Raw genomic sequence first — 17,596 nt, 5'->3', positions numbered from 1 at the left:
GTGTGAAGTGGTATCTCATTATAGTTTTGATTTGCATTCAAGATCTTTTAAATAGGAAATTCTTTCTTCACTTAGTTTTACTCCTAGATGATCAGATACTAAATTAACTCACCTTTCAAATAGTTGTTTTTTTCAACTACAAAAGGAACACTTGTTATTTGAAAATGTATGGATTTATAAAACATAAAAAGTGACAAATTCCTTCTAATCCTACTCCTTAGAGACAACCAATATTAACTCTCTTTCCCTCCCCCCCGGCCAACATTTCTAGAAAGCAACTGTTAACTCTTGTTATTGTATATTCCTCCAGTTAAAAAAAAAAAAAAAAAAGCCTAGGCTGGGGGCGGTGGCTCACACCTGTAATCCCAACACTTTGGGAGGCCGAGGCGGGCAGATCACGAGGTCAAGAGATCGAGACCATCCTGGCCAACATGGTGAAACCCCCGTCTCTAGTAAAAATACAAAAATTAGCTGGGTGTGGTGGCGGGCGCCGGTAGTCCCTGCTACTCAGGAGGCTGAGGCAGAAGAATTGCTTGAACCTGGGAGATGGAGGTTGCAGTGAGCCGAGACCACGCCACTGCACTCCAGCCTGGGCAACAGAGCAAGACTCCATCTCAAAAAAAAAAAGCCTAACATTTTATTTTTAAAACGACTTATTATACATACTGCTTTATAACTTGCCTTTTCACTTAAAGTATCTCTTTTCAATGGTTCTGTTGGCTTCCACTGTATAAACATATCATGATGTAACCTTTTTTTTTTTTTTTTTGGAGATGGAGTCTCCTTCTGTCACCCGAGCTGGAGTGCAGTGGCAGAATCTTGGCTCACTGCAACCTCCAACTCCCTGGTTCAAGCTATTCTCCTGCCTCAGCCTCCCAAGTAGCTGGGATTACAGGCGTGTACCTCTACACCCAGCTAATTTTTGTATTTTTAGTAGAGGCGGGGTTTCACCATGTTGGCCAGGATAGTCTTGATCTTCTGACCTCATGATCCGCCCACCTCGGCCTCCCAAAGTGCTGGGATTACAGGCGTGAGTTTTTCTTTAAAATGAGTTGAGAATTGACCATTACAAAGTTTATGAACAGTTTACTTCTTAAAATAGGAAGTGTCATATTGCCCTCTTAAATAATTGTATTAATTTGCTTTTAGAATACTGAATATTATTTTTGTAATTATTATTTTAAATTTCATTTCTTTAATTGTATGTGACAATAGCCATCTTTTCATGTTAAAAGGCATTTATAGAGATACATATTGTGTTTACACCCTTAATTTATGGTATCATTTCAAATCCATTTATGTCATTTATTTTACGGATTAGATTCTAAAAACAGGATTCCATCAAATTGTTTTAAAAAATCTTTTTCGTTCTTTTTTTTCCATCAAATTGTTTTAAAAAATCTTTATCGTTCTTTTTTTCCATCAAATTGTTTTAAAAAATCTTTATCGTTCTTTTTTCTTTTTTTTCCGCCCCCACAAGATGGAGTCTTGCTCTGTCACCCAGGCTGGAGTGCAGTGGCATGATCTCAGCTCACTGCAACCTCTGCCTCCCAGGTTCAAATGATTCTCCTGTCTCAGCCTCCTGAGTAGCTGGGATTATAGGCATGCATCACCACGCCCGGCTAATTTTGTATTTTTTAGTAGAGACGGGTTTCACTATGTTAGGCTGCTCTCGAACTCCTGACCTCAGATGATCTGCCCACCTCAGCCTCCAAAAGTGCTGGGATGAGCCACCATGCCCGGCCTATTGTTCTATTTTTTTTTAAGGTTTTATTATTTTTAGTTACCAAATTGACGTGCTCATTAAATGAAGTGACACAATAAAAAAAAAGTGTAATCTCTCCCTTTTCTCCATTTCCATTCCCTCCCTCTGAGTAACCATTTTATTTTTATTTTACGTATTTATTTAGAGACAGAGTCTTACTACTCTGTCGCCCAGGCTGGTGTGCCTGTCACTCAGGCTGGAGTGCAGTGGTGCGATCTTGGCTCACTGTAACGTCCACCTCCACCTCCTGGGTTCAAGCAATTCTTGTGCTTCAGCCTCCTCCCAAGTAGATGAGATTACAGGCACCCGCCACCACGCCCGGCTAATTTTTGTATTTTTAGTACAGATGGGGTTTCCCCATGTTGGCCAGGCTGGTCTTGAACTCCTAACCTCCAGTGATCAGCCCACCTCTGGCTTCCCAAAGTGCTGGGATTACAGGCATGAGCCACTGCGCCTGGCCATCCCATGAGTAACCATTTTAATAATCTATTGTGTATCCCTCAACACAAACATACACAAGGTGTTTTGTTTGTTCCAAAAATATAATTATGCATAATATATGTAGCTCTGAAACTTTTTCATGTAATATTTTATGGCCATCCCTCCAGGTGTACATATAGTTCCAATCCATTCTTTTTCATAGCTGGGTAATTTCCAGAGTATGAATGCACCAATTTACTCCTTTCCTTACGTATGAACATGCATGTCATTTCTAGTTTTTGTCACTACAAAGAATTCTACAAGAAATTTGTAGACATCAGATTCACAGATGAGATTGTGAAGGTCAAAGGGTACATACTTGTACTTTTAATTTTAATATATATTACAAGATGACTTCACACACCACACTACCAGCGAAAGGAGTGCCTATTTCTCCACCTTCATTGTTTGATAGGTGAAAAATGTGGTTCCCTTTAAAAGTGATAATCTTGACTAGTAGTGTGGTTAAGCATCTTTTTAAATGTTAATGACCAATTAGTTTTCCTCCTCTCGGGAAGAGCTCCTCATTGCCTTTGCTTTTTGTCAGTTGGCAGGGGTTCATTTTGTCTTAGGAATGTATAATCTTTTGTGTAGCTAATCTTTACAATTATCTTCCAGTCTATTTCTTGTTTGTTAACAGAGTCAAGAAAAAGTTCTTAAAAAATACAATCACACAGGTTTATATTTTACTTCAAGACATCTCAGTTATCTGTTTTGCCTCATAATTCAAACCATAATGCTTTGATTAACGGAGGCTTTTTAGTAAATTTTGATCTGAAAAGGCAGATATTCCTTATTTTTCTAGAATGTCTTGGTGCCACACAGTTTTCATACTCGTTTCTTTGTAACATATTTTAAGCCATCGTCAGCCATTAGTCAGGTATAATTAACTTTAAGAAGAGGCATTCATTTATATTTTTACTTTTGTCAACTTTCTGGAGGCTGGTATTACATCGAGAAATAAGGCCATCCCTGCCCACAAGTTGTCCGAACCCTGATCAGTGCGTCACTGGGGAACGAACCGAGTGTGGATACAACGCACAAACACAAAACTCTGTTCGGCCTCCGTAGGAAGCTGAAATTGAGAAAGGAAACCGAGACAGTAGGAGAAGGGCAATTAAGATGTCTTTAAAAACAAGACGGCCGGTGCGGACAGCAGTGTAGAAGTTAGCAAGCTGGAGTGGGCAATGTCGGTGCCCCATCTCTAACCTATGGGAGTCACCAGAGCGGGGGCGGAGTCCCATGGCGGCCACACCCTGTCCGCCTCCGCAGTCTTTTTACTGGAGAACCGCAGTAAAAGGCGGAAACCGCGGAGGCGTCTTGATTTTCCGGTCGGAGAGATAGCTTGCTTCCTTTAAGCCTCGGGGTAGGGGGGTGGGGAGGGTAGGGGGGTGGGGAGGGTAGGGGGGTGGGGAGGGTAGGGGGGTGGGGGGGTGGGGAGGGTAGGGGGTGGGGGGGTGGGGAGAGTAGGGGGGTGGGGAGAGTAGGGGGGTGGGGAGAGTAGGGGGTGGGGGGGTGGGGAGAGTAGGGGGGTGGGGAGAGTAGGGGGTGGGGAGAGTAGGGGGGTGGGGAGAGTAGGGGGGTGGGGAGAGTAGGGGGGTGGGGGTTGGGGGGTGGCGCCGTGGGGGGTGGCGGGGTGGGGGGTGGGGGGTGGGGAGAGTAGGGGGGTGGGGGGTGGGGAGAGTAGGGCGGTGGGGGAGTGGCGGGGTAGGGGGGTGGCGGGGTGGGGGGTGGGGGGAGCGCGGGCGCTGGGTGGGCGGGGGGTGGGGCGGTGGGGGGGCCTGCCCCGCCCCAACCGCCGCGCCTGACGGTCGTCCATTGGTTGTTTGCATTCGAACTACATTTCCCAGCAGGCCCTGGGGTTAGACTGGCCGCAGCTGGAGAGGTGCCAGCCCGTCGTGGATGACTAGAGCCAACCACCTGCCTTCCGTCTTCCAGGCAGAACCACAGAGAGGCTACAGCCGTCCTGGCCTCCCTCCGGCCCTGAGAGCTCCTCTGGCCTGTCTCAAGTCTTAACGTCTCAAGCGCAGACTGCCGGCTCCGAACGGGGAGACCAGGCTTCTGCACCGGAAACAAGGCACCGGTTGTGACGTCACAGCCGCAGAGCGCCCGACTTCCCAGAAGGCACCGAGTCCCTGCCGTTCTCCTCAACTGGCGGCGGCGCGAACGAATAGTCGCCGGCGACCTGTGAGGGCACTCGGAAGGGCGAGGGGAGGGCTCGACCGCTCGCGCCTAGTTTTTCTATCTCTCCCGGAGCCTGAGTCTCTGAGCCGTCCCCAGCAAACGCTCAGGGGCTGCAGAGGCCCCGAGAGGTGAGGGGCTCCGTGAGGGCGGGAACCAGGCTGAGGCCGCCTCTGGGGAGCGGAGCGTGTCCGTTGCTGAGGGAGCAAGGCCGGGTAGGGAGCCTGGTGAGCGCCTCAGGCAGGGGCGCACGCTGAGCTTTACGGTAAAGGTGTTCCTTGACCAGCGGAAGAGGCCCCAGAGTGAGCCTGGCCCGGCGGTCCTTAGTGGGATGTCGCCTGCCGCTCTCAGCAGAGCTTTGACGGCGGAGAGGAGTCGGCAGGCGGTGTGTGGACACCTCCTCGGCCTTGCATCTGCTCCCCGGGAGAGTCACCAACCGCCTCCCCGCCCAAAGGGCACCGGAGGGAGCTTCGGTTCGAGGGGTACAGTATGGCCAGATTCAGTGACCAACCTGCTTTTAGGCAGATGTCCTCGGTATTGACCCCAGATTTCCTGTCTTCTAGCCCATTGCTCTTTCTCCAAGCCTGATTTAACCTATTCCTGGTGGGTTTTACACACCGTCTTTCTTTCTGTCTTTTCTTTCTTTTTCCTTTTATTTTCTTTCTCTTCCCTGATTCCCTTCCTCCTTCTTTCCTTTCTCTTTTCCTTTCTTTTTTTAGAGTCAGGGTCTTGCTTTGTCGCTCAGACTGCAGTGCAGTGGCGCGATCACAGTTCACTGCAGCCTCGACCTCCTGGGCACAAGCAATCCTCCCAGCTCCCCAGTAGCTGGGACCACAGGCTTGTGTCGCCACGCCCAGCTAATTTTTTTTTTTTTTATGGAGTCGGTGTCTTGCTGTGTTGCCCAGGCTGGTCTTGAACTCCTGGACTCAAGCGATCCACCCGCCAGGGCCTTCCAAAGTGCTGGGATTACAGGTGTGAGCCACCGGTACCTGGCCACACTTTGTATTTCTCAGGAGGCTGGACCTTGGCCTTCTCCGCTCCACCCTTACTCCCTTCCCTTTGGACTTGAGGTTTGCACAGTCTCTGTTTTTCATTCTCAGGATCTTCCTTTCACATCTTCCTAAGCATATCTTGTTCAAATACTGCGTTTCAGTTATGATTTCCCTATCCCAGCTGTCGTTTTCTTTAGATCTCATGTAGCCTCACCAGCCATGCCACATATTGGAGTGCAGTAATGCCGTGCCTGGTCTTTTGGGTAATCCCTGGTTTCTCTGTCTACAGCTTGGCTCTCTGGCAGATTTCCTCTAGTAAGAGGTGGCTCTGGAGGCCCCGCGAAACGAGTGTGGTGTGTGGTTGCAAGGCATGATGGCTGCAAAAGTGGTTCCTATGCCCCCAAAGCCAAAGCAGTCCTTTATACTGAGAGTTCCGCCAGACTCCAAGCTGGGCCAAGACCTACTTCGAGATGCCACTAACGGGCCCAAGACCATCCACCAGCTAGTGCTGGAGCACTTCCTCACCTTCTTGCCCAAGCCAAGCCTGGTCCAGCCCAGTCAGAAAGTCAAGGAGACCTTGGTTATTATGAAAGATGTGAGCTCAAGCCTTCAGAACAGAGGTGAGAAGCACATGCTTGTTTCACTAGAAGAGGAGGAGGAGGTACTGGAGTCTAAGATAGGTTTCTGTGTTAGTTATAAATTCAAGTTAGGATGGTGTATATTGGAAAAGGAGTCAATTCTAGTGTTGGAAAGAGGAAGTTCTTCTCAAGTGCTGGGTGTGAGTAAGGCCACAGAATAAACAGTGTGCATCTTTCTGTAGTGTCAGTTTTACCCAAACATTCTGAGGGAAATATCTTTTAAGGATAAATCAGATGAATTATTGAGTTAGGTTGATGTGGAATTTTAGAAATTTTGTGCTTTTTCTGGGCATCTTCACACTTTACGTTGCCCTAAGCTCTCCTTTAGTAATACTCTATGGGAAATTCTGAAAGGTGCTTAGAGAAGTCATTCTTTTCATAACAGGGAGATGCCATAGGTTCAAGACCCTAGAGTTTATGGCTTGAACTCTATAAGGGCTCACAGGAGCAGAAAAGGCCATGAGTTACCTGTCAAAGGAATGAGGACAGCCTGGCCTCGCGGTATGGGGAGTCTCTGTGTTAGAGTCACTGAGTTTTTCACTAACTAAACCTTCCTCTTTCCCCAGTGCATCCTCGTCCCTTGGTGAAGCTTCTGCCCAAAGGAGTCCAAAAGGAACAAGAGACAGTGTCTCTGTATTTGAAAGCTAACCCTGAGGTGGGTTTGGTTTTCCCATTTACTGCCTGAATCCATCACCTTCCGTGCTTGGCCAACCTGTGTGTAAAAACACATTCTTAGGAGTTGGCCTTCTTGGGTGTTTTTCTTCTGCTTTTTCCTTGAGCCCTTCTCAGCCTGGCTGTCCTGTCTTTGCTGCACCTCTGTGGGATTTATAGGTCCCTCTTGCTATCCCTTCCCTTGATCTTTGTGTGTCAGCTTTTCTTACCAGTAGGGCTGTCAGTGAACCTCAGTTACTAAGATGAAAGGGGCCTCTTGCTCTTTCAGGAGCTGGTGGTCTTTGAGGATTTGAATGTATTTCACTGCCAGGAAGAATGTGTGAGCTTGGATCCTACTCAACAACTCACGTCAGAGAAGGAAGATGACAGCAGTGTCGGGGAAATGATGTTACTGGGTAAGAAATCACAGCCTTTGTGTGTTCAGGTTGTTTGCTTTGGGAAAAGCATGTCCTTCATCTCTTTAGCTTTGGGGGACGATTCACACCTGGTAAGCCTATGTGCACACACACATTTTATTTTACTTTTGTTTTATTCAATGTAGCAGAGCCTTGCCACAGAACTCCAGCTGTGGGTGGGTGGCCATTTTTCCCTGTATCTTGGGGGCAGTGAGGGGAGAGGTAGGGAAAACCTGCAGACATAGAAACTGTGGATATAGAAACTGTTCTGAACCCATTTTCTGAACTCTGTTCTCAACAGGTATATTTGAATGTTTTCATTGAACACATGACTAACTCTTGTAATCCCCCTCCCCTTTTTGATGTTCAATAGATGTGAAGACTACTAGCCTAAGTGAAAATATATTCCACTATTGGTGAAAGTAATGTTTAACACTTAATGAGCACTTATATGCTGTTACATGCTAGGCACTAGTCCAAATGCTTTTCATGTGTTTATTCTCTCATGTACTTCTCAGAGTAATACTGAGTGGTATAGAAATTACTGCCACCTTACAGGTGACAGAACTGAGGCAGAGAGGGGTTACAAAATTTGCTAAAGTTCACACAGTTGTAAGTAGGGGAACAGGGATTCGGACTCAGGGAATCTGACATCAGAATTTGCAGTAATGGCCCAGGGCTGTACTGTCTCCTAGATGCATTTCTCATAATTTTGTCAATGAATTCCGTGTATGGTTGGTGAATGGGGCATTCTTTATTTGTCCTCATTTCCCAGTAATAGTTGACAAGTGTCCCCCAGTGCTGTGTATGAACTGATCAAGCAGCAGCCTCTCTATAATTTGCTTAGAGATGCTTTACCTTTTCTCTAGAAATGTTGCAACCCTAGAGGCAGAGGCCCGCACAAATGTCTTTACTGAGTGCCGGACACTTTTTACTTTGCCTTCAGGGCTTTTTGTTTCTGAGGGTGAAGTTGTACAGAGAATAGGTTTTAGAAGTTGCCTGGGGTGACAGAAATCCATTATGACTGTCAAACTCTTAGCTGTAATTATACCGTATGGTCAGAAGTATTGGTATGTAATGAGTGTAGTTAATTTCCCGCAGGTTGCTCTATGTGATATCTTCTTTATTTTAGAGAAAAGGATAAAAAGATCAGATTTATTAACACTGAGTTTTTCCTGAGTCTTGGGCAGAGCTGGCATTTATTTTGGGTGACTGGTTAGTGGATATATTGCCTCCAAGATCACTTCGACTATGCACTTCAGGGCCCCTAAGACCCAATCCTCACCCTCTGTTCCCCACTTCCTCCACCCGTACCCTGAAGCTGGTGGCTTAAGCTTAGTCATTTACCAGCATTTCATAAATGTACTAGTTTTTTCCTCAGGCAGGATTGGGTTCTGGAATTGTATTCATCAGGTTACGAAGATGTTATATTCTTGCCTTTTGTAATCTTCCAATTTGGTTTGTAAGACAAGTCATTCATCAAACGATAAGCAGTGTGAAATTTTTATAGGTATAATGAGCTATCGCAAGACTGAGGTAAGATTTGGACCCGGGGCAGAGTAGTGAAGAAGGTGGAATTGATTTTGGATGAGATTGAATCCATGATGGGAAATAAAATGAGATTATCCTCCAGATATTTGGAAATTGGGGATTGGAGTTCAGATGTGAGGATATAGGGATTGGGGAGCCATCAATTTATAGGTGATGATAATTGAAACAGTAACATTTAACCAATTTTTGCAAAGGAAAAACTATAACGGATTGAACATTGTGGTGGCAGGAATCAAAGAACAGTCCTTGATAACCTAGGGAAACAGAGAATGTGTGTGTTGGCCAAGTGAACCACGTAAAAATAAGGAAAAACGTAGAACACTTAAACAGATTTTCAGTAAGATAATTCTTATTATAGCTACTGTGTGCTGTGATAGGAGAATACACCTTTTCAAGATTGAAGAAAATTGACTAAATACTAGGCAACAAACAAAGACTCAGATTCCAAGGAGTAGAAATAAAGTAGGATCTGTCACAATGCAGTACAACTAGAAATTAATAATAAAGATCAGTAAATTAAAGTTCCTTCCACCTGGAAAATTTAAAACTCTTAAGCAACTGTCTTAGTACATTTTGTGCTGCTATAAAAGAATACCTGAGGCTGGGTAATTTATAAAGAAAAGAGGTTTATTTGGCTCACAGTTTTCTGTAGGCTGTACAAGAAGCATGGCGTCAGCGTCTGCTTCTGGTGAGGGCTTCAAGAAACTACTCATGGTTGAAGGAGAGCAGACTTCACATGGCAAGAGAGGAAGAAAGAGAGTAGGAAGGTGCCAGGCTCTTTTAAACAGCCACATTGTTAGTGAACTAAGAGTGAGAAATCACTTATTATTTTGAGGTGGCATCAAGCCATTCATGAGCGATCTACCCACATGATGCAGACACCTCCGACTAGGCCCCACCTCCATCACTGGGGCTCAGATTTCTCTGTCTTTATTTATTTATTTATTTTTTTGAGACAGAGTTTCGCTCTTGTTTGAATTTGGAAGTTTCCTTCTTTTTTTTTTTTGAGACGGAGTCTCGCTGTCACCTAGGCTGGAGTGCAGTGGTGCGATCTTGGCTTCCTGCAGTCTCCGCCCCCTGCGGTTCATGCCATTCTCCTGCCTCAGCCTCCCGAGTAGCTGGGACTACAGGTGCCTGCCACCTTGTCCGGCTGATTTTTTGTATTTTTAGTAGAGACAGGGTTTCACCATGTTAGCCAGGATGGTCTCAATCTCCTGACCTTGTGATCTGCCCGCCTTGGCCTCCCAACCTTCTTTTTCTATACTCTGGAAATTTTCCTAGCATTTGAATTATTTAATTTTTAAAAGTTTAGAAGAATTTTCTGTGGAACTGTCTGAGGCTGGTGCTTTTCTTGGGTAGGTGGCTAGTCTTTTTTTGATAATTTCAATTTTCTCTATGGAAATTGGTTTATTTTTGCTTAAATCTTACTAGTTTTTTTCTATTTTTAACTCATTACTTTCTAATTGGTATTTATTAATACCTTCATTCTTTTAAATTTATCCTATTGTTTTTCTAACTTTGAATCAGAGGCTTTATTATTCTCATTTTTCTAAATTAATACATGTTTTTACAGCCATGAGCTCTCTTATGAGCATCACTTTAGGTTATACCATAAATTCTGATATACACTTGTCCTTGGTATTCATGGGGGATTGGTTCCAGGACCCCCACTCAGATACCAAAATCCATGGATGCTCAAATTCATTATATAAAATGGTGTAGCATTTACATATACTCCACACATATCCTACCATATATTTTATTTCTAGATCAATTATAATACCTAATACAAAGTAAATGCTACATAAATAGTTGTTATACTAAATTGTTTAGGGAATGACAAAAAAACTGAATATGTACAGACAAAACCATCCTTTTTTTTTCTCTCAAATATTTTCAATCCTTGGTTGGTTGAATCCTCAGATGCAGAACCTATGAATATGAAGGTCTGTATAATGTTTTCTAGAAAAAATATGCAATTTTAATTTGTTTTTACCCCTTTGACGCAAGGTTGCTGATATAGTTTGGATATTTGTCCCCTCCAAATCTCGTGTTGAAATCCAGTCCCCATGCTGGGCACAGTGGTTCACGGCTGTAATCCCAGCACTTTGGGAGGCAAAGGCGGGTGATACCTGAGGTCAGGAGTTTGAGACCAGCCTGTCCAACATAGCAAAACCCCATCTCTACTAAAAAAAAAATATACAAAAGTTAGCTGGGTGTGGTGGTGCGTGCTTGTAATCCCAGTTACTCTGGAGGCTGAGGTAGGAGAATCACTTGAACCCGGGAGGCAGAGGTTGCAGTGAGCTGAGATCACATCATTGTACTCCAGCCTAGGGGACAGAGCAAGACTCCATCTCAAAAAAAATAATTAAAAAAACAGAAATAATACAAATCTATTAATATTTCTTATATATAAAGGAGAAAAATCATTTGTTTACTTGTATAGTTACTGAAAAGATACTTGACAAAATTGAAGCCTCTCCTTTATAAGAACATTTAACAAAATAGTTAACAGATACTTCCTTATAGGTAGAACAGAGTAATCAGAAAACTTAAAAATAAGAACATTTATTTGTCTTAAGTACTCTCATGGGAAAAAATGAGACCATTCACTAAGGTAGTGGGAAATAAAGTGAATAAACAGAAATCATTGGCTTTCACATATATAAATGGGGTCATTTAGAAGATACAGTGGAAGGCCCCATTAGAATAGAAACATGAAAGTTTAAATACTTAGGAATAAACTCAAGAAATGTGCAAATTTATGAGGAAACTTTAAAACAAGGCTAAAGGACAAGAGTAGATTTCAACGAAAGCAAAAAAAAAAAATACTATGTTTTTGGCTAGGGAGACAATATCATAAAAAGGTCATTTCTCCTCTTGTTGATTTATTAATTTGATGTGTTTTTTTTCAACAATACCAATAGCATTTTTCCCTTGGAACAAGACTGTGATCTCAGAAAGTCCCGAAATAGCCTCAAATACACATGGGAGTTTAGTGTGTGATAAAGTTGGTGTATTCGTCCATTTTCACACTGGTATAAAGAATTGTCCGAGACTTGGTAATTTATAAAGGAAACAGGTTTAATTGACTCACAGTTCAGCATGGCTGGGGAGGCCTCCAGAAACTTAAAATCATGGCAAAGGCAAGAGGAAGCAAGGCATCATCTTCACAAGGCAGCAGGAGGGAGAAGTACGAGTAAAGGGGGAAGAGCCCCTTATAAAACCATCAGATCTCATGAGAACTCACTATCATGAGAATAGCATGGGGGAAGGCCCCCCCGCCCATGACTCAGTTACCTTCACCTGATGTCTCCTTGACATGTGGGATTACAATTTAAGATGAGATTTGGGCGAGGACACAAAGCCTAACCATAAAGGGGGACTTTTTGATAAAAGGTGTTAGGACGACTGACAGCCACTTGATAAATTAGTACCTTACTTTACATACCAAGAAAAAGTCCACATGGATCAAAGATTTTAAATGTTTAAAACAAATATAAAAAGCACATTTAGAAAATATGAGTGATTCCTTTATAACCATGGGATAGGAAGGTTTTTGTAATTAAGACTCAAAAGCCCAGAAGCCTTGAAAGAAAAGATTGACAGATTCAAATACGTACAAAAGGCTGGGGCATGGTGGCTCACGCCTGTAATCCCAGCACTTTGGGAGGCCGAGGCAGGTGGATCACCTGAGGTCAGGAGTTTTGAGACCAGCCTGGCCAACATGGCAAAACCCCATTTTTACTAAAAATACAAAAATTAGCTGGATGTGGTGGGGCATGCCTATAATCCCAGCTACTCGGGAGGCTGAGGAAGGAGAATCACTTGAACCCAGGAGGTGGAGGTTGCAGTGAGCCGAGATCACGCCACTGCACTCCAGCCTGCGTGACAGGAGCAAAAAGAAGTGCAAATTAAGCCTCTAGTGAATTAACATTTTGCGTATTTCATATTTATAGAAATAAAAACACATTGATGGTGAGGTTGTTGAGAAACAGGTATATTGCTGGTGGGCATATAAAATGGTATAGTCCCTGTATAAGGGTAATTGCATCTGTAACTACCCATCTTATCCTTTGTTCCAGGAGTTCAATTCTGGAAATCTGACCTACAGATATAGCAACAGAACACATTCGAAATGATGTACAAAGAAGATTATTCACTGTGGTATTGTTTGTAAAAACACAAGGTTGGAAGCAGTCCAAGTGTAGTTAAAGAGGAAGAGTTGAGTTAAAAATTATTTAGACAAGAAATCATTGACAAAGATATACATTTATAAAAGCCTTAACCCAGTAGATTATTTTGCATAATGAAAATCCAAAGTAAAACTACAATGAGAAACTATTTTATACCTATTAAATATTTTAAAATTTAATGCTAACAAGATTAGGTAAAGTTAATATTCACATGAAATTAGTAGAGCTGTTTTTGAAAGCAGAATGGTAGTTCATGTCAAGAGCTATGGTAAAAATTGACATTTCATTATCCTAAGGGAGTGATTAAAAAGAATAATTAGGTCGGGCGCAGTGGCTCATGCCTGTAATCCCAGCACTTTGGGAGGCCTAGGCGGGTGGATCACGAGGTCAGGAGATCATCAAGACCATCCTGGCTAACACGATGAAACCCTCTCTCTACTATAAATACAAAAAATTAGCTGGGCGCGGTGGTGGACGTCTGTAGTCCCAGCTACTGGGGAGGCTCAGGTAGGAGAATGGAGTGAACCCAGGAGGCGGAGCTTGCAGTGAACTGAGATGGTGCCATTGCACTCCAACCTGGGCGACAAAGCGAGACTCCATCTCAAAAAAAAAAAAAAAAAAAGAAAGAAAAAATAATTAAGGCTGGGTGTGGGGGCTTACACCTGTAATCCCCAGCACTTTGGGAAGATTGCTTGAGTACACGAGTGCAAAACCAGCCTAGGCAACATAGCAAGACCCTATCTCTGCCAAAAAAAAAAAAAAGTGAAATAAAAAAAAATCTATTGGTGTGAAACTGCTGAATCCAGCAGAGATTCCAACTCCAGCTTCAGGATCAGCCCCCATGTCTTGGTGGTTGATTTGAACCCTTGACTCTCAGTAGGCCTGAGTTGAGGGGTCCCTTGTCACACAAGTATATCCACAGCATGGTTCTTTTTCACTTTGTTACCCAGTCTTTATAATCTGCTTACACTGACTTTTTTCTGAAGTATAATGGAAATATAGAAAAAGCCTACCAATTGTAAATATATAGCTCAAGTTTTCACAAAATGTACACACTAAGCACCACCCAAAATGGACTTTTCTTAGCATCCCAAAAATCCCTTTTGTGCCCTGTACCCACTCACTACTTCCTTTCCTACACAAAGAGAAACACTACTGACTTCTAATCCCAAAGCTTCATTAGTTGTAGTAATCTCTTTAATTGCCAAATAATAAACTTTTTTCTGTTTTGAGACAGATTCGCTCTTGTTGCCCAGGCTGGAGTGCAATGGCGCGATCTCGGCTCACTGCAACCTCTGCCTTCCGGTTTCAAGTGATTCTCCTGCCTCAGCCTCCCTAGTAGCTGAGATTACAGGCATGTGCCACCATGCCCAGCTTATTTTGTATTTTTAGTAGAGACAGGGTTTCTCCACGATGGTCAGGCTGGTCTTGAACTCCCAGCCTTGGGTGATCTGCTCGCCTTGACCTCCCAAAGTGCTGGGATTACAGGTGTGAGCCACCACGCCTGGCCAATAATAAACTTTTGTATGAATATGCTGTGCCCTCTTTAATTTTGCTTATTGGAATTGTTTCAATTTTCTCATTGTAAGACATTATGATATTATTTAGTGCTATAATAGTGTGATAATATTTAATATAGTGAAAACCTACAAGTGGTTCGTCTTACTATTCAGTTACCAGACTCCTTCAAGATGATGAGTGGTTCCCTGTATAGATGTATAGTCTTCATCCCTAGTCCTTACCTGAGTGCTCTACAGAGTATAAGGTGAATATGAACTTGTCGAGTAATTAACACCTATGAAGAGAACAAACATTTGAAGTCTTTCAGTGAAATCCCACTCATTTTATTTCTTTAAAGTGTGCTTGCATTGTGGTAGATGGAAAGATTTATCAGTTATGTATCCCACCCTCAATAAGTATGGAAAAGGAGTGCGACGGCAGTATCCGCCACTCCCCAGATTGACGTTCAAGGTGGCTGTGGCATAAGAAACCTGACTTGTTTTTTCCTGCCTGGTGTTGTGATATCTCTCAGAAGTTGTTAAATTCTCTCTTTGTTTCAGCAGTCAATGGCAGTAATCCTGAAGGTGAAGATCCTGAGAGGGAACCTGTAGAAAATGAAGATTATAGAGAAAAGTCTTCAGATGATGATGAAATGGATTCTTCCTTGGTCTCTCAGCAGCCTCCCGATAACCAGGAAAAGGAACGACTAAATACATCCATTCCACAAAAAAGGAAAATGAGAAATCTGTTAGTTACCATTGAGAATGATACTCCTCTAGAGGAACTCTCAAAATATGTAGACATCAGTATTATTGCCCTTACTCGAAATCGGAGGACAAGGAGATGGTACACTTGTCCACTGTGTGGGAAACAGTTTAATGAAAGTTCTTACCTCATTTCCCACCAGAGGACCCACACTGGAGAAAAACCCTATGACTGTAATCACTGTGGGAAAAGCTTCAATCATAAAACAAACCTCAATAAACATGAGCGAATTCATACAGGAGAGAAACCTTATTCCTGTTCTCAGTGTGGAAAAAACTTCCGTCAGAATTCTCATCGGAGTCGTCATGAAGGAATCCATATAAGGGAGAAGATATTTAAGTGTCCAGAATGTGGGAAAACCTTCCCAAAGAATGAGGAGTTTGTGCTTCATCTGCAGAGTCATGAGGCTGAGAGACCATATGGTTGCAAAAAATGTGGGAGAAGATTTGGTCGGCTGTCAAACTGTACCCGGCATGAGAAAACCCACTCAGCCTGTAAGACCCGAAAGCAGAAGTAATACTGGGAACCCTTTCTGGGTCTGATGGTGCTGCCTCAACCTGAGAGCTTTCATAAGTAGTTCTGAATTCCCAAGCTGCCTAAAAAGGTATAAATGTGTAAAAATCTCATTATTGCCAAAATTGGATAAATGCCCATCTTAGCTAAAACCTCAAATTGCTAGAAAATTCACAGGGAAGAAAACATTTCAAGGGCTATACCTCAGCATCTAGGCTTTTTGGACTAAGGAGCTTTCCTTTTTGAAGTTATATGATAATGTACAGGTCACAGATCCCCTTTCCCAACACTTTGAAGATGAATCTGGAGTCTGCTTACTTGGAAGGCAAAGAGTGACTTGTGTCTATTGAAAGTATATCCGTTTTCCCCCCACATGGGGATTCATACTTGAGAAATAGTGCAAAGATGCTTATCTGGAACTGTGTTCTGGTGAAAGAACCAAATTACTGGCTTGTTAGCCAACAGCTTCTGATAGCAATTCATATAACCCTCTAAGAATACCTGTTTAAGTCTTGAGTGTTGAAAGGAATTGTTTACTTTGGAATATAGGAAAACAGTTGAATGTCAGACTCTCATTTGTATGTGATCTAAATTTGCAATCAATTTCAATAATATTTACAATTTGTGATAAAACTGACTTTTACAGATTCCTTTTCACAACATAATTTAGGTGTCTACTGTTCTTATTGTATTTTGTTCTGCTGTTGATCTCTCCAGCAGCCGTCTCATGCTTCTCCCTTGCTAAAAGAAGTTTGGATTACTCAGGCAGGGCCATCCAGCCCCACCACTAGAAAAGCTCTTCAGAATCTTGTCCCTCTGTTGAGCCCAGATCTCATGTGCTACGAAGGAAACCCCAAGACCCAGAGAGGAAGGGTCAACCTGGAGGCAGGAAAAAGTTGGCTTGGATCCATGTCTCATCAATAACCTTACCATATGCTTAGGTCCCCTCTATGCTGTCATCAGACCTTTGGCAATGGGGTGGTCACTACCTCACAAGGCAAAGTGTTGTATGATTAGAAATTACGTCTCCAGTGGTTAGCTCACATTGCCTCTCAAGAGACAGGTTTCCAGGTGTCTTCATTGTAGTGGGTATTAATTGTCTTCAGCCTCTTGATATCCATACCTTCCTGTCCTCTGCCTAGAAGCAAGGCCAGCGGTGCCTTTACGGACTGATCGTGTGGTGCGATTTAGGGATTCTTCAGTTTTGCTTGCTTTAGGTTTCCAAAAGTTATACATTGGTGTTTTGATTGGAATAAAGAAATCCTATAAGCTATTTGGGAAAAATTATAGTGTATGTTTCCCATCCAGAAACATGCCTTTCTATTTATTAGAGTATTATATTCCTGTGAAAATTTTTCTAATTTTCTTCACTTGTTTTACACAATTTTGTTATTGTAGTTTTTTCCATTATATTTTTATAGTTGATTATTGCTTTTACATGGGAAAGTTATTTTTAATTATATATTTGTATAGTCATCTCACTGTTGTTAATTTTCAATAGTTTGTTGGTTTAGTTCTGTTAACTTTTGGTAAAATGACACCATCTACAAAGAATAGTTTTTGTTTCTTGCCTTCTGCCTATTGGTCTTTTTTGTTTTGTTTGTTGTTATTAACATGTAATTCTGAGGTTTCTTGTTTTGGCACAAAGCATTCTGAAAGAAGGACATTCTATGATACAGTTCAGTCCTGAATCGTAATTTAAAAACAACAAATCCTCCACAACAGAGAAAGGCCACAGAAAAACTGTCTTTACCAACATTGTATTTCAGGCCAACAGGAAGTACCCTGTAAAGCCAGCAAAGCGAACAAAACAGGCTGCCCACAACGTTATTCGCTTATTTGAAAGTCTGACCAGTGCACTAGGACTGGGATCCTGAACTGTGTTTCCAGAGTCGGCAGGCTGTTACCATGTGCAGTGGACCTGCCTGTGCACCCAGAAAAGTAGCTG

The 17,596-nt window shown here is 42.8% G+C and overlaps 1 protein-coding gene across 13 annotated transcripts, besides 2 other annotated features; it reads left to right on the top strand.

The window, feature by feature from the left end:
* Positions 4,068-4,277: an enhancer, noted in NCBI's record as "active region_10315". NCBI's record gives its function as "activates an Ori minimal core promoter by ATAC-STARR-seq in GM12878 lymphoblastoid cells {active_cell/tissue: GM12878}" and the evidence as "EXISTENCE:reporter gene assay evidence [ECO:0000049][PMID:35858748]".
* Positions 4,288-4,347: an enhancer, noted in NCBI's record as "active region_10314". NCBI's record gives its function as "activates an Ori minimal core promoter by ATAC-STARR-seq in GM12878 lymphoblastoid cells {active_cell/tissue: GM12878}" and the evidence as "EXISTENCE:reporter gene assay evidence [ECO:0000049][PMID:35858748]".
* ZNF200 (zinc finger protein 200) lies at positions 4,386-17,219 on the top strand. 13 transcript variants are annotated; one of them, XR_007064908.1, is made up of 6 exons: positions 4,386-4,908; positions 5,708-6,038; positions 6,623-6,711; positions 6,997-7,123; positions 12,760-12,898; positions 14,934-17,219. XR_007064908.1 is itself a non-coding variant. In XM_047434596.1 (6 exons), the coding sequence occupies exons 3-6, from the start codon at positions 5,789-5,791 to the stop codon at positions 15,650-15,652; spliced, it is 1,188 nt and encodes a 395-aa protein (XP_047290552.1). In that variant the 5' UTR covers positions 4,386-4,432; positions 4,713-4,908; positions 5,708-5,788; the 3' UTR covers positions 15,653-17,219. The 13 variants fall into 13 exon arrangements, 12 of the variants coding, with proteins under 12 accessions (XP_047290552.1, NP_932353.1, NP_001138918.1 ...); XM_047434596.1 differs by lacking the exon at positions 12,760-12,898 and having other exon boundaries at positions 4,386-4,432; positions 4,713-4,908; positions 14,931-17,219; NM_198087.3 differs by lacking the exon at positions 12,760-12,898 and having other exon boundaries at positions 4,386-4,432; positions 7,000-7,123; positions 14,931-17,219.
* Positions 17,220-17,596: the final 377 nt, after the last annotated feature.

The sequence above is a fragment of the Homo sapiens genome, chromosome 16, assembly GCF_000001405.40.
Source record: "Homo sapiens chromosome 16, GRCh38.p14 Primary Assembly".
Lineage (NCBI taxonomy): Eukaryota > Metazoa > Chordata > Mammalia > Primates > Hominidae > Homo > Homo sapiens.
The sequence above is the reverse complement of the archived record's forward strand: the minus strand, read 5'-3'. Positions and strand labels throughout refer to the sequence as shown.

What these genes read in the sequence shown, in the direction of transcription:
- ZNF200 (XM_006720941.3), top strand. Translation starts at nt 5,789, where the DNA reads ATGATGGCTGCAAAAGTGGTTCCTATGCCCCCAAAGCCAAAGCAGTCC. An exon ending in ATTTGAAAGCTAACCCTGAG is followed by an intron (nt 6,712 to 6,996) that starts GTGGGTTTGGTT and finishes TTGCTCTTTCAG; the next exon opens with GAGCTGGTGGTCTTTGAGGA. An exon ending in CGGGGAAATGATGTTACTGG is followed by an intron (nt 7,124 to 14,930) that starts GTAAGAAATCAC and finishes TCTTTGTTTCAG; the next exon opens with CAGTCAATGGCAGTAATCCT.